Source organism: Homo sapiens, chromosome 6 (assembly GCF_000001405.40).
Source record: "Homo sapiens chromosome 6, GRCh38.p14 Primary Assembly".
NCBI classification, from domain to species: Eukaryota; Metazoa; Chordata; class Mammalia; order Primates; family Hominidae; genus Homo; species Homo sapiens.
Window position 1 is genome coordinate 140,561,776 of NC_000006.12, and position 13,122 is coordinate 140,574,897.

The following is a 13,122-nucleotide window of genomic DNA, read 5'->3' on the forward strand; positions in this document are numbered from 1 at the left end:
CTGTCTGACTGTAGGGAAAAGCTGGAGCAGAGGTTAATAAAAGGGACTTCTGTGTTTCAAACACTGGTAGCCTCTGCATGCCCTTACCGAAGAGAATCACATGTTAGTACATTTCACTTTTATTCCCAACTCTACCATTCCACAGTTATATTTGCCCTTGAGGATATGAAACTGTTGTGAAACACAGTGACTTCTTCAATACTAAATAATCAGGCACCACTGGTAGAGAAGAACCCCTGTGAGAGACAAAATTTTAATTCAGAGCAGTCCACATGAGTTATTCTATTGATTCTTCAGTTAATTCAACAGCTGTACTAATTGCAGAAAGTAGTATGATGCTTCACAGGTGTCATAAAATCCAGGCTATTTTTCCATGTAGCAATCACAGCAGGTTTTAACTGGGTACACCAAGCAATCCTGACAGGATTCAGGAATCAGAAGGGAACTCAAGAGGTCCAGAAGAAATGTACTGGTGCTCCTAAGAAAGTCCAGTGGGTTTGATAACTTAATCAAGATGATTGCGAAAAGTTGTCAGAGGCCTCTCAGAATCTGCAAAACCTATATTTACATAGACTACTTTTTTTATAAATTAAAAGCTTGGATTATGTTCCTTTGAGGTTTTGTGGTATATCTGCAGCTCCAACTAAATGGACAGTGCAGAGGAGCAGTCATGTCACTTGTCCTAAAAACTAACTAATGGATTTTTATTTGGTTACATATATTGCTGTCTTTGAAGAAGACAATGAAAGACTGCACATAAAATAAAGGTGTAACTTGGAAAATCCTGTGGTTTCATTGAGGGGAAAACTAAGAGCCATCACTAGACTTAAAAGAAATAAAGTAAAAATAATCTTTGAAAGAAGAAACGTTATCAAGCTACCTTTAAAGAGAATGTGTCAATTCATCATTAAATAAATTCATTTAATTATCAATTAAATATATGAAATACATTCATGTATAATCTTTCTTTCTTTCTTTCTTTCTTTCTTTCTTTCTTTCTTTCTTTCTTTCTTTCTTTCTTTCTTTCTTTCTTTCTTTCTTTCTTTTCTTCTTTCTTTCTTTCTTTTTTTTTGAGATGGAGTCTCGCTTTTTTACCCAGGCTGCAGTGCTGTGGCACAATCTCTCACTGCAACCTCTACCTCCCGGATTCAAACAATTTTCCTGCTTCAGCCCCCTGAGGAGCTGGGATTACAGGCGTGTGCCACCACACCCGTCTAATTTTTGTATTTTTACTAGAGACAGGGTTTCACCATGTTGGCCAGGCTAGTCTCGAACTAGCCTGGTGGTTCAGACTAGTTCGAACTAGTCTCGAACTAGCAGGTGGATCAGAAGATCCACCTACCTTGCCCTCCCAAAGTGCTGGGATTACAGGCATGAGCCACTGTACCTGACCTAATGTTTCTTAGTGTAAATTATCTATTCGTTTTTAAGACTATTTTATTAAGTTAATTATATACTTTAAGTTTACCTCTAAAGTCAATTTGGCTTATTATCATATTCAAAGGCATTCACCAATTGAGTCAATATTCAAAATTTCAAAAAGCATCAATTGTGAAATACATGTAAATGTATTCATAAATTGTACACAGGTAAATGTGAGATAATAGTACATGTTTCTACTCCAAACATACAGAGGATTTTGAATTTGAAGCACAGCTTAATAACACTCCTAATGGAAATATATAAACCTCTAAATATCCTGCACCTTCAATATTTTCTGATAATGGTAATACGAGGTAACAAATATTCCTTTTTAGGCTAAAACTTTCCTATGCAGGAATCATGTGCGATGTATCTACAATGTTATTTATAAGCATGAAATACCACACTGCTCTTACCCAGAGGCATTATGGACACTGCTTAGTCTTCCATGAAAATCTCATTATATTAAATCCTATTAATGATAATATAAAAAATTTACAATATAATTTTCTATCATATTAGTGATACATCATATCACATTATCATTTTCTTAGCATTAATATTGTGTTTATGCCTTTAGGTAGAGTTAAAAGGGGACTTATTAATAACCTGTAACAAGAACTTTTTGCCACATTGTTCAACATGGTCTCTTTAGATACTAATACATTAGCCTTAAACATGGACAAGAAATGAACTGATGAAGGTTTGTGCAGCATAGTGTGTGTGACTCACTCATCTGAATATTCAAATGAGGGCTGCAAAATAATGATGAGAATCACAGTCAAAATCTTTCTGACCTTACAGTTAAAGGTTGACTCTATCAATGGGATTAAGCAATAGTTTATGCTTGCTATCTGAAATGAATTTTTGTAATCAGATATATAATGTTTACAATTCTGATACCTCCACCTTTGTTTCTAGGTTGTTTTCTCTGTTGATTCCTTTGCCCAACACCCTGTTTGTTGATGTTCTGTTCCACTGGTTCTTAGTTGTTCCATACGGACCTTTTCCATATAACATTGTACATATTGTATTGATTTTGCATTTCCTTTAATTATCTTCCTTAATCCTGTCATACTAACTAATTCCACTCATCCTGTGGTTGTGAGTTGACTTACTGATAATGCAATAGAGCTCTCTGATTCCAGGTATGACAATTCCAAGGACTACCTGGGAAGGTGCTAGAGGGCATGCCAATTTTCTATTCTCAGAAGTGGATGAGTCTATATGCTCTGTAGCTGATCCAAATATTTAAAGGTGGCATTGATAACTTTGTTATGTTTTAGTTAGTAAATTAGTTGTTTTGTTCAATTTTGAACTAACAAAACCTAGGTACCCCAAATGAGCAAAAGTTATACAATACTTAAGACATTTACAAAAACAAAATATGTGTATCAATTTTCTTCCATGTCATAATGCTTCATTTCCAGGTTGTTTCTCTTTTTGTTCATTCATTTAAAAACAAAATAAAACCTTACATTGGATTCTTAAAGATATTTAGCAAATTAAAAGATACCAGGCTCAAGAAAAAGGTATTTGTCCTTAATTTAGTCAATTTATTGGACTGCTTTTTTTTTTCCTATTATTTTTTAAATATTTTTATTGTGTTAAGCATATGAGATCTACTCACTTTACAAATTTTTATACATACAGTACAGTATTGTTAACTATAAACACAATATTGCACAGCTGATTTCTATAACATTTTTATTTTGCTTGACTGAAACTTTATACCCTTTGAAAAGCAACTCCTGATTTCCCCTCCCCTGGCCCATAGCAACCACAATTCTACTTTCTCCTTCATTGAGTTTGACTATTTTAGATACTTCATATAAATGGAATCATGCAGTATTTGCATTTCTGTGTCTGGCTTATTTCACTTAGCATAATTTCCTCAAAATTCATGAATGTTTTAATACACCTATATAGATAACGTAAAAAAAGAAAACAAGTTTTAATTTTGTTGTATATGTAAAAATACAATCAGCTTATAAATAAATCCCCTTTGAAATCAGGAGGCAGCATAGCAGAGGGATTAAGAAAGCTGGGCCTGGGGTCAGACTGTACAAAAATCCTGGTCTCAATATCTATTAGCTTGGTGAATTGCTCTCTTACCTCATCTGTAAAACAGGAGCAAAAACTGTATCTATTACATAGGATTTTTGTAAGGATTGATGAGTTAATGTGTATAAGTATTATAGAACAATGTCTGGCATGTAATATACTCTCAGTTAATATTTGTTATTTTATTGTCATTACTGCATTCAATACATAACAAGTATTTATTGATGCTCTTGTTAATGAATATGCTCACTTATCTTATTTGTATCCTGACCACTTTAAAAATTTTTTTGTTGTTGATATAGAGATTAAAATGCCATGAAAAAGAAAAAATTATAGAAAAGCAAAAAGAGCTGAATGCAGTGAATGAACATCTGTGAATGAAGTTGAGAAGGTATATGTGGTGAGTATACAGTGAGCTGATTCTAATTAAAATCCCATTTTTTCATTGTGCTTTCTGGTAGCAAATGCAACAAGTGATATTTGTTACATTATATTGTTTTCTTTATTTTGCAATTACTTGCAAGCACTTATCTCCTGTAACTGAAAAAAAAATTGAGTGATATTTTCAATTTTATTTTATTCTTTACCTTCATGGAAACATTTGCCTAGGATCTTAGTTTTTATTTCTGTTGTTCTGTGTTCTGTTATATCCTATATCCTGTTAGTGTTGGGAATGAGGAAATAGCAGCCTACCTGTGCCATATGAGTCCATCATTAATAGTAGAGAAATGCCACGAGCAAGGCTATTGTCATATCAGCCCTTTACAAAGCAGATTGACATAATAGTAAATAACCACCCAATAATGAATGTATTTTGTTACTTTTTTGAATACCTAACTCTTACACAAATAGGTTTTTAATAATTGATACTCTACTTGTAATCCTGCTATCAAAAATAATCTGATACAAACTTGAAGTTCATTAGGACTCATTTTTTATTAATAATTAATATTACCTTACTATTTATGCTTTTATTTTTTTCTGTGGCTTTAAATAACTAATCAGCATGTCACATCAGGATTAATTTAGTTATCTTAAATATTATGAAATGGCATTTTATAGACTAAGGAAAAGTTAAGATATTAACTTAGTAACATTAGAATAGTTTCTAAGTAGAGAGTTCATGTGGGTGGGTGTAAATAAGAGCATGTAATTTAGAGAAAAGAGAATCAGGTAGGAGTAAAGTATATCATATTACTTCATAAGCAAAACAGAATATGCCCTTCAATCACTCTGTTTCTTTTCTGCTAGAAGCTGTATTGCTAAATGTTGTGACCTCCTTTGTATTTCTAGTACTCAACTTTAATGGAGCCTCATAAGCAGATAGACATTCATGTTGGCCATTTATGACATCTAGATGTTCTGGTAAATATTAAGACAAGAAATGGATAAAAATTGCATTACTATTATTTTATCCAGTTGACATGTAAATGTGTGTGTGGGGGTGAGAAAGAATAAAGAGGATGTCACTTATTATAACATGTTATTTGTTAAGATATTTATAAAAGAATTTTAGAATAAGTCATTATTTTTTGGAAATCAGATTCTCCCTGGTGCCTTCCTCACTGTTGGATAAGTGTTAACAGTTTCAGGGCCCTGATGACTCATGGCTATAAATAACACTCTCTGAATCCAAGTCCAGCTTTCAAACACATAGAGAACAATAGGGAATTAAAAATAAAAGGTATTGCAGTTTACATATTTTTGAATGCTTCTGTTAAAACACTTTCTCTTAACCTGGCCTCAGGACATAGATCTAATGTCCATGATTTGCTGAATCTCTGAGAATGATTCCATTTTGTCTCTCTAGTCACAGCAAACTTCAGCAATTTGTGCTTTTTCTGCATGACAGCAAACTTCCTTTACCCCTTAGCTCTGCTTGGCCAGTGTTATTGAAGTCTAAGTTTTAGGTCCCCAGGACATAAAATTGACCAATCTTAATAGTGATGTCACAACAGTTTAGTGATGTTTGGCACTGATAAAGTCTAGTTGCTATACTATAATACGACACAAATATGTTAGAGTAAGAAAAACCTCTTAATTTCTTCTCTTTAAGCTTAACCTTAAATAAATAGGAAATTTCTTTGTGGCTGGCTGCAGAGCCAAATCTTTCTGGGTGAATTTAAAGTACACATAAACGCTCCTCTTCACTACTTTTATGATCCTCCTTTCCTCCCATAAGAAGGTAAAGTTGATGAGTATCCTTGAAAAATCATCATGGGTAGAAGAAATGCTGAGGTTTTTCTCCTCCAAAATACCCATCCCACAATATTCTCTTGTGGGTGAGGGACGGACAAAACTGTGTTAAGTCAGAAGCTACACTAGGCATTTAGCTCAGAGATACTGTGTCTATTGTGTAGGAGTTCTCTCTTGTTTCAGGACCTCCATCCCCACCCTGTGGAAACCCTGGCTAAGAATCTTCGTGTTGATGACATCATTTTACCTTCCCTTCTGTATTTGCTGGAAATGAAAATGGAGCTGTCTCTCTGTATAACATGTGTTTCATAATGAGTAACATCAATATCATTATCATAGTATTTGCTTTCTAATATTCACATGCATAATAGATATATGGATTTGTTTTGATCTATGTCAGAGCAGGTAAGTTCATTCAGTAAATGGAATAGCAACATCAGACATAAGAAGCCTGGACTGAGGAATAAATTGGGAGTCTGAATTTTAATAGAACTAGTTGCTTAATTAGACGGCAGGTGCCAGGATGGAAATACATTTGACCAAATCAATGCCTTCTGAGTCTATTTGAGGGCATTATTGGGCACATTTTGTGTTAGCTATTAAAGTAGGGACTTTTTAGTCCATATGTGTTAGTTTTAAAATTATGTGTGTACCATTATAGATTAACACATATACACAAAGCCAAATATATATATACATAAAATATGTATTATCATCAATCTATATCATATGTATACATATATAACATATGTAATATCATACATATCACATTATAAACAATCATGTAGTAGTAACTTTCAAACGATGTCTTTTTGAATGCATAAAACTGAACACTGTCAGAATAATCCAGGTCACCTCTTGAATGCTTTGCTGCTTAGAAATTTTTTCTGCCATATACCCTGAATCATCTTTCAAGTTCAAAGTTCCACAGATCTCTAGGGCAGGGTCAAAATGCCACCAATCTCTGCTAAAGCATAGTAAGAGTTTCCAATAAGTTCTTCATCTCCATCTGAGACCACCTCAGTCTGCATTTCGTTGTCCATATCACTATCAGCATTTTGGTCAAAACCATTCAACAAATCTCTAGGAAGTTCTAAACTTTTCTATATCTTCCTGTCTTCTTCTAAGTCTCCCAGCTGTTCCAACCTCTGCCCCTTACCCAGTTCCAAAATTGCTTCCACATTTTCAGATATCTTCATAGCAGTGCCCCACTCTCGTGGTACCAATGTTCTGTATTAGTCTGTTTTCACATTGCTATAACGAACTACCTGAGGATGGGTAATTTGTGAAGAAAAGAGGTTTAATTGACTTGCAGTTCTGCAGGCTTTACAGAAAGCATGACTGGTATGCCTCAGGAAACTTACAATCATGGAGGAAGGTGAAGGGGAAGCAAGTATTTCTTACCATGGTGGAGCATGAGAGAGAGGGAATGAAGGGGGAAGTGCTACATACTTTCAAACAACCGGATCCCGTGAGAACTCACTCACTGTCATGAGAATAGCAAGAGGGAAGCCCACTCTCATGTTCCAGTCACCTCCCACCAGGCACCTCCCCTGACACGTGGGGATTGCAATTGAGATGAGATTTGGGTAGGGACACACAGCCAAACCATATCACACTTCTTATATGCCAGGGGTGGTCCTAAGAACTTTATAAATGCTAACTGGTTTGAATGATAATTCATTTGAAAATTTAATTCATTAAAATTAACAGTCTTAGAATATAATCTCACCTTGACAAAATAGCCATGTTCCACAAAAAAATACAATTGAATTCTCTATGGGTGGGAGCAAGAGACCAGAAGATCTGCGAGATAGAAGCTGTAATTACCTTCAAGAAGAATAAGAGCCTAAATAAGAAAAATGGTGAAAACTGAAGGAAAATGAATTATTCAATTATAAATATTGTCTACATGATAAAATAACATAACTAAAGTAGGTGTAATTTATAATGCATATATCCAGGCCACTTTGTATTTCTTCAATTGTTTATATTTTTATTCATATTTTAAATACCTTACTATGTGCTAGGCACTGTGCTCAGTCACAGGATAGTGAAAACAACGGATGGAAGAAATTGCTGCTTTCATGGAGCTCACAGTCTAATTGGGAGCTTATATTCTATATAAGTAAAAGTTAGCAATGCTAGCAGTTATTGGCAGTGCTAAACAAATCTCCAGAGTTCATTGGCTTTCAAATAAAAGTTTATATCTTCTTTACACAAAGTCTAATGTTGATGCTCCTATTCAGTATATGGTTTCCCACAAGGTCATTCAGGAACCCAGGCGAATTCTATCTGAGGGCTTTCTGTCATTTAGGTCCTAAATGTCTTTTTCATTCAGCAGATGAAAAAAGAGTGATATTAGTGGACTATTCAAGAGAATATTAAAGTCCAGTACTGAGAGAGGCATAATCACCTGCACTTACACATTGCTGACCACAGTACTGCAAAGGTGGCTGGGAAAAGAAGCCCACATGTACAGAGTAAAGATGTTGTCAGCATTTTGAATTTTAGCTATTCTAGTAAGTATAGAGTGTATCTTACTGTTATTTAATTTGCAATTCTCTAGTGATAATGCGGTTTAAATCTTTTCTTATCCTTACTTACCATCTGTATATCTTGTTTGGTGAGATGTCTGTTCTTTAGCCCATTTTTTAATTGAGTTGTTCATTTTGTTATTGTTGAGTTTTAAGGGTATTTTGTGTATTTGGGGTAACAGTCCTTTATCAGATGTGTCTTTTGTGAATATTTTTCTCAGTCTGTGATTTGTCCTCTCATTCTTTTAACATTGTCTTTTGCGGAGAAGAAGTTTTTGACCTCTTTTAATGAAGTCCAGCTTATCAATAATTTGTTTTGTGGATCATGGCTTTGGTGTTCCAAAAAGTTGTTATGGTGCCCAAGGTCATCTAGGGTTTCTCCTATATATCTTCTAGGAATTTTATAACAATGCATTTCACATTTAGGTGTATGCTGTCTTTCGAGTTAATTTTTGTGAAGGGTGTAAGGTCTGTGTCTACATTCATTTTTGCATGTGGATGTTCAATTGTTCGAGTATCATTTGTTGAAAAGACTGTTTTTTCCATTGTATTTCCTTTATTGCTTTGTCAAAGATCAGACGACTATATTTACGTGGGTCTATCTCTTACTCAGAGGAAAGGGGAATGGGTTTGATAAAACCATAGTCTCTGTCACATATTTGACTTCACAATTAATATTCACACTTATCCTAAATGTAGATAAAATTATTGCATCTATTTTACAGATGAGGAAATGGAAGCTCAAAAAGGATCAAATTACTTTTCAAAGTTAACACACTTTAGTTACTATCAGACCTGAGATTTTAAACAAGGTCAAAATCTTACTACTTAAGAATCAATATATGGAGAGATTGTGTTTATTAGTTTGTTTTGTCGTGTTTTGTGTTTAAACTTTTGTGAAAAAATAATTTAGTTGATTTGAATTGACTTTCTTTCAAAGAAAACAAGCTCTCCAACGTTCAAAATTAACCCCATTAACAGAAACTCAAGAAGACCAAATTACATATGAGATTTTAGTCTTTCTTTATTTTCCAACTTGGAAATTTTATATAGATGGTAGAAAAAATTGATAAAGTGTCAGAAATAAGCACTAAACAAACAATATTATCATAAATAAACATCATCTTCAATTAGTATCAATAAGACATAAAATGCTGCCACAACTGAGGCCATCAACTTTGGTGAAGAATGTATTATAGAATATTTTACTGTGGTTCAAAGAGGTATTTGAAATACCATACTGCCATTTTTGGAAACTAATAAAATATATCTTGAAAAGAAAGGTAATTAATTATAGATTTTTAACTTCATATTTCAAATTCCACTCAGCCCACACCAATCTGAAAGTCACTAATTTGATTTAACTCTATGTAGTAAAACTCCATTTGTCTTTGAGTTGTCATTCAGTCCTCTATGACAAATTCTGAAAATACTTTCCTCAAGCATGCAGAACTTGATGAAATATCCTTAAAACATTTTAAGCTGTTAATAGAAACACACAAGAATATTGTGGAAAAAATATCTTTTATTGATATATTTAGTTTAATTAGCAAATATAAATTTATAAGCAGGTAAGATTCACATAGACAAAATAGTAATACAGAGTGAAGAAATTTTACACTATAATAATCACACATTTTTATTAAGCTCTTAGACTTACTGCAAATGTATTTTCTTGGTACTTGGGTAGAATGGCAACGGGCACTTTAGATCTCAGATCAATAGATAGAAGCACTTATTTTACGTGAGAGAAGCAAAGAGATTTTCTGTTGTCTTAAAATTCACTTTGCTATGTGATGTGAACTCATTTTGAAGTCTTTCTTGTCAATGATAATATTACATTTCAAACTGAGACACAGTGTGTTTCTCTTTTGAGAAAGCTACTCATCTTAAATAGAGCAAAGTTTCAAAACAGCAAGTTAGATATATCCCTTATTGTTCATAACCAAAATCTTTACATTTTGGAAAAGAAAAAGATGAAAAAGAAAGTAGATAAAATTCAATACTAAAAAATTCTACTGCTAAGGTTTTCTATAAAAACAATTAGCTGACCAGAGATGGTACCGTTGTGTAGAGATTAGCACTGGAAAGAAAATAAGCAAGACTAAAGCATTTATGGTTTATGCATCTGTCTATTTAAAGGACTTCCAACCCCTTAGCCCAATGCTGCTGTCAGGAAAGAAATGGAAAATCCAGTTACAACTGTCTAGCAGGTCTATCATTATTCAGGATGAAAGCACTGCTTAGTCATTCACTAACTCAGAATTCTCTTTTTAGCAACTTAATACAGTATCATGCAACCACTGCCCAAGACAATTTACAACAAGACTCTTTGCCAAAAATACATCAATTGTAAGGAAAACAGGAAACAGCAAAGAGAAGGGCAATCTTAACCAGTTTTCTGAGTCATCTTTTCCTGTGCACTCGTCACGAAACTCCATTTATTTAGGTGAGCTGGAAGTATTATATTTAGGAAATAGGGTTAGAGCCTGATAGTGCCGTTAAGTGGTCTAAGCCACCAGTTTTTCTAAGGGCTAATTCTAGGCCAAATTATAAAGTAGCAAATTCTGCTTTGATGCTGTCTCCTCTCTCCTTTTTGTCTTCCAATTTCTTCCTTTCAAATAACCAGGGACCTCTTGTCTTATCTGACTTCTCGGAACCTACTGTTTTCCACACTAAAACCTGTGCAGTTAGTTAACATGCTGATCTGATCACCTAACATGATGAACTAGTGCCAAGTGTGGATATAACTGGAGGAGCTCGAGATTTAAAAGTTAAGTAACGTTCCAGAAAATACATAGCTTATAACTAGTGATAACTAGAGGAGCAAGAAGTCAGTTGCAGGCCTGTGAGCGTTTCCAGTCATTATTATGCTGATTTACATGGTTATTCTGGTGGGGCTGTGCCTAGAGGTGAGAGTAGGGGCATCCTATCAGAATTCCCAGGGTATATTCTCAAAATTAATATACATGACTGAGAATCTCCTGAGTTATGTAATCAGTGTGGCAGTCATACATGTTATAACAATTTCCCAAATGACTAGAATGCACACTCAGAGAACACACATTAATTTTAGGTAATGGATGTGCTAAGACATGGTGAACACCAGTGTCACTTGATGCAGACTGAAACTCACAGGCAAAAGAGTAACTGGAGTATAAGTAAGTCCTCTAACTCAAATGGTAGTCATGCCTCTGGGGTGTAAGACATGTATAAGTCAGGGCAGTGCTGGAAATTATAGATTTCTCTAGATTTGTTTCATTTGTAGCAGGGAAAAGGCCCGTTTAGAAGCCTATTTGGATGGATTTTTCAGTGTGAATGAAAGTCCCTGTACTGCAGCAATTGGTGCCGGTCTCTCCCTTCCCAGACTCTCACATTTCCTTCATAGTTTTTTCTTAACGAACCATCAGCCATACTGCCTTAGAGACGGGTCCCAGTGGGAAATTTGGTTCTCAATACTGTCCCCTCCTGTCTGCTCTTCTACTTTTCTTTCCACTTGTCTGTTCTTTTCATTTGAGGGAGACCCTAGGCTCTAGAGTTCTATTTTGGCAGGCTATAGCTATAGCCTCGAGAGATGCTCCAATTTGCAAACAGTCTTTGAGGGGTCTCCCTTGCTCAGGACTCCAGCCCAGTTTCCGGATACCCAATTCAAAATTGGTTCTCATTTTTATTACTTTCTAGATGGTTTATCATTGCAGTTTTGATTTCCTCTCTGATATGAAGTGAACCCTATTACCAGCTCCATTATAAGTGATGCTTTATTTGTTCATTGGCTATCTTAAGGAGCAGTGCTGAGAGTCATGGAAAGTGAAATGAATTGCTGCTCTGGGCTAGTTAAGGAGCAGCAGAAATGCCTTAGTTCTAATAGATTTAAGTTCCAGATAAGGCTTTTCCAGACCTTTAAGTTCTAGGGACATCCAGATTCGCAAGGTGCAAAGAACGTAATCCATATCTTCATATCCCCCTAAGTGCCTTGTGAGCATACATGTGCTACTTCAGACTGCTTAGACCTTCTGCTGGAACTCCAGATGATAATGGGAAATGGACATCATTCAAAATATTTAAAACATTCAATTAAGAGATCATAGCTCAGACTGGGTATGTTTAATTTGACCACAACAATAATTGATTGATTTCTAGGAATAATATCAGTTTAAATCATTCTGCCAAATTTTACTCCCATCTCTTCCCCTAATGGATTCCTTTGCTTTGCTTACTCAGGTCAGGAGGAACTGGAAGGTGAGGATATAACACACATTGAAGCACTTAATCACCTCTTGATTGACTAAAGTAAAATCCTGATTTAAGGATCTAAACTGTGTTTTTCATTTATTAGCACTTTGGATAGCAACAAATGTTTCCAAACACCTGAGAACAGGAGAAATTCAGACACATTGGAAAGGCTTTGGGGGTTAAAAATAAGAATATTTCACAAACTAACCACCAGCATCAAATGATAGAATGTATGATGCAAATGGTAACAACGTGAACAGATAAGGATCTTCTGCCATGTATCTCCCTGACCATTCCTTGTACTTTCTATTTTCATAAAAAACCCTCAGTAAAGACAGAGAACTCTTTAATTGACTGACAAAAGTTTCTAATACTCTAGAATGAAATTTATAAAATAAATTACATTAGATCATATAATATTAAAGAAAGTTTTGTATCATGCACACTTGCTTTTTTGATTGAGATGGTTATAAGACTTTTCTACTAATGATACTGACATCAGTTGAAATATTTACTCAAAGCCTCGTACTGCAAAACTGCGTAGATGGGAATTATAAGTATACATAAATTAGCACTGAATAAACTCTATTGGGTCTGGGAATAAGTTGAATTTTATCCAGGAAACTTTACCAGCATATGTGTTATGCTTCTGAACACTTTTCCATTAAAG

At 34.6% G+C, this 13,122-nt stretch overlaps 1 long non-coding RNA gene across 5 annotated transcripts in view; it reads left to right on the top strand.

Annotated features, from left to right (window-relative positions):
• Nucleotides 1–13,122, top strand: part of LOC105378027 (uncharacterized) — a 246,946-nt gene that overhangs the window by 23,286 nt on the left and 210,538 nt on the right. For 4 of the 5 annotated variants that reach the window (XR_001744387.3, XR_001744385.2, XR_007059791.1 and 1 more), the window contains exon 2: nt 3,789–3,886. The exons of the other annotated variant lie outside the window; for it this stretch is intronic. This is a non-coding gene — a long non-coding RNA (uncharacterized LOC105378027). The remainder of the gene's footprint in view (nt 1–3,788; nt 3,887–13,122) is intronic. 5 annotated transcript variants of the gene reach the window in all.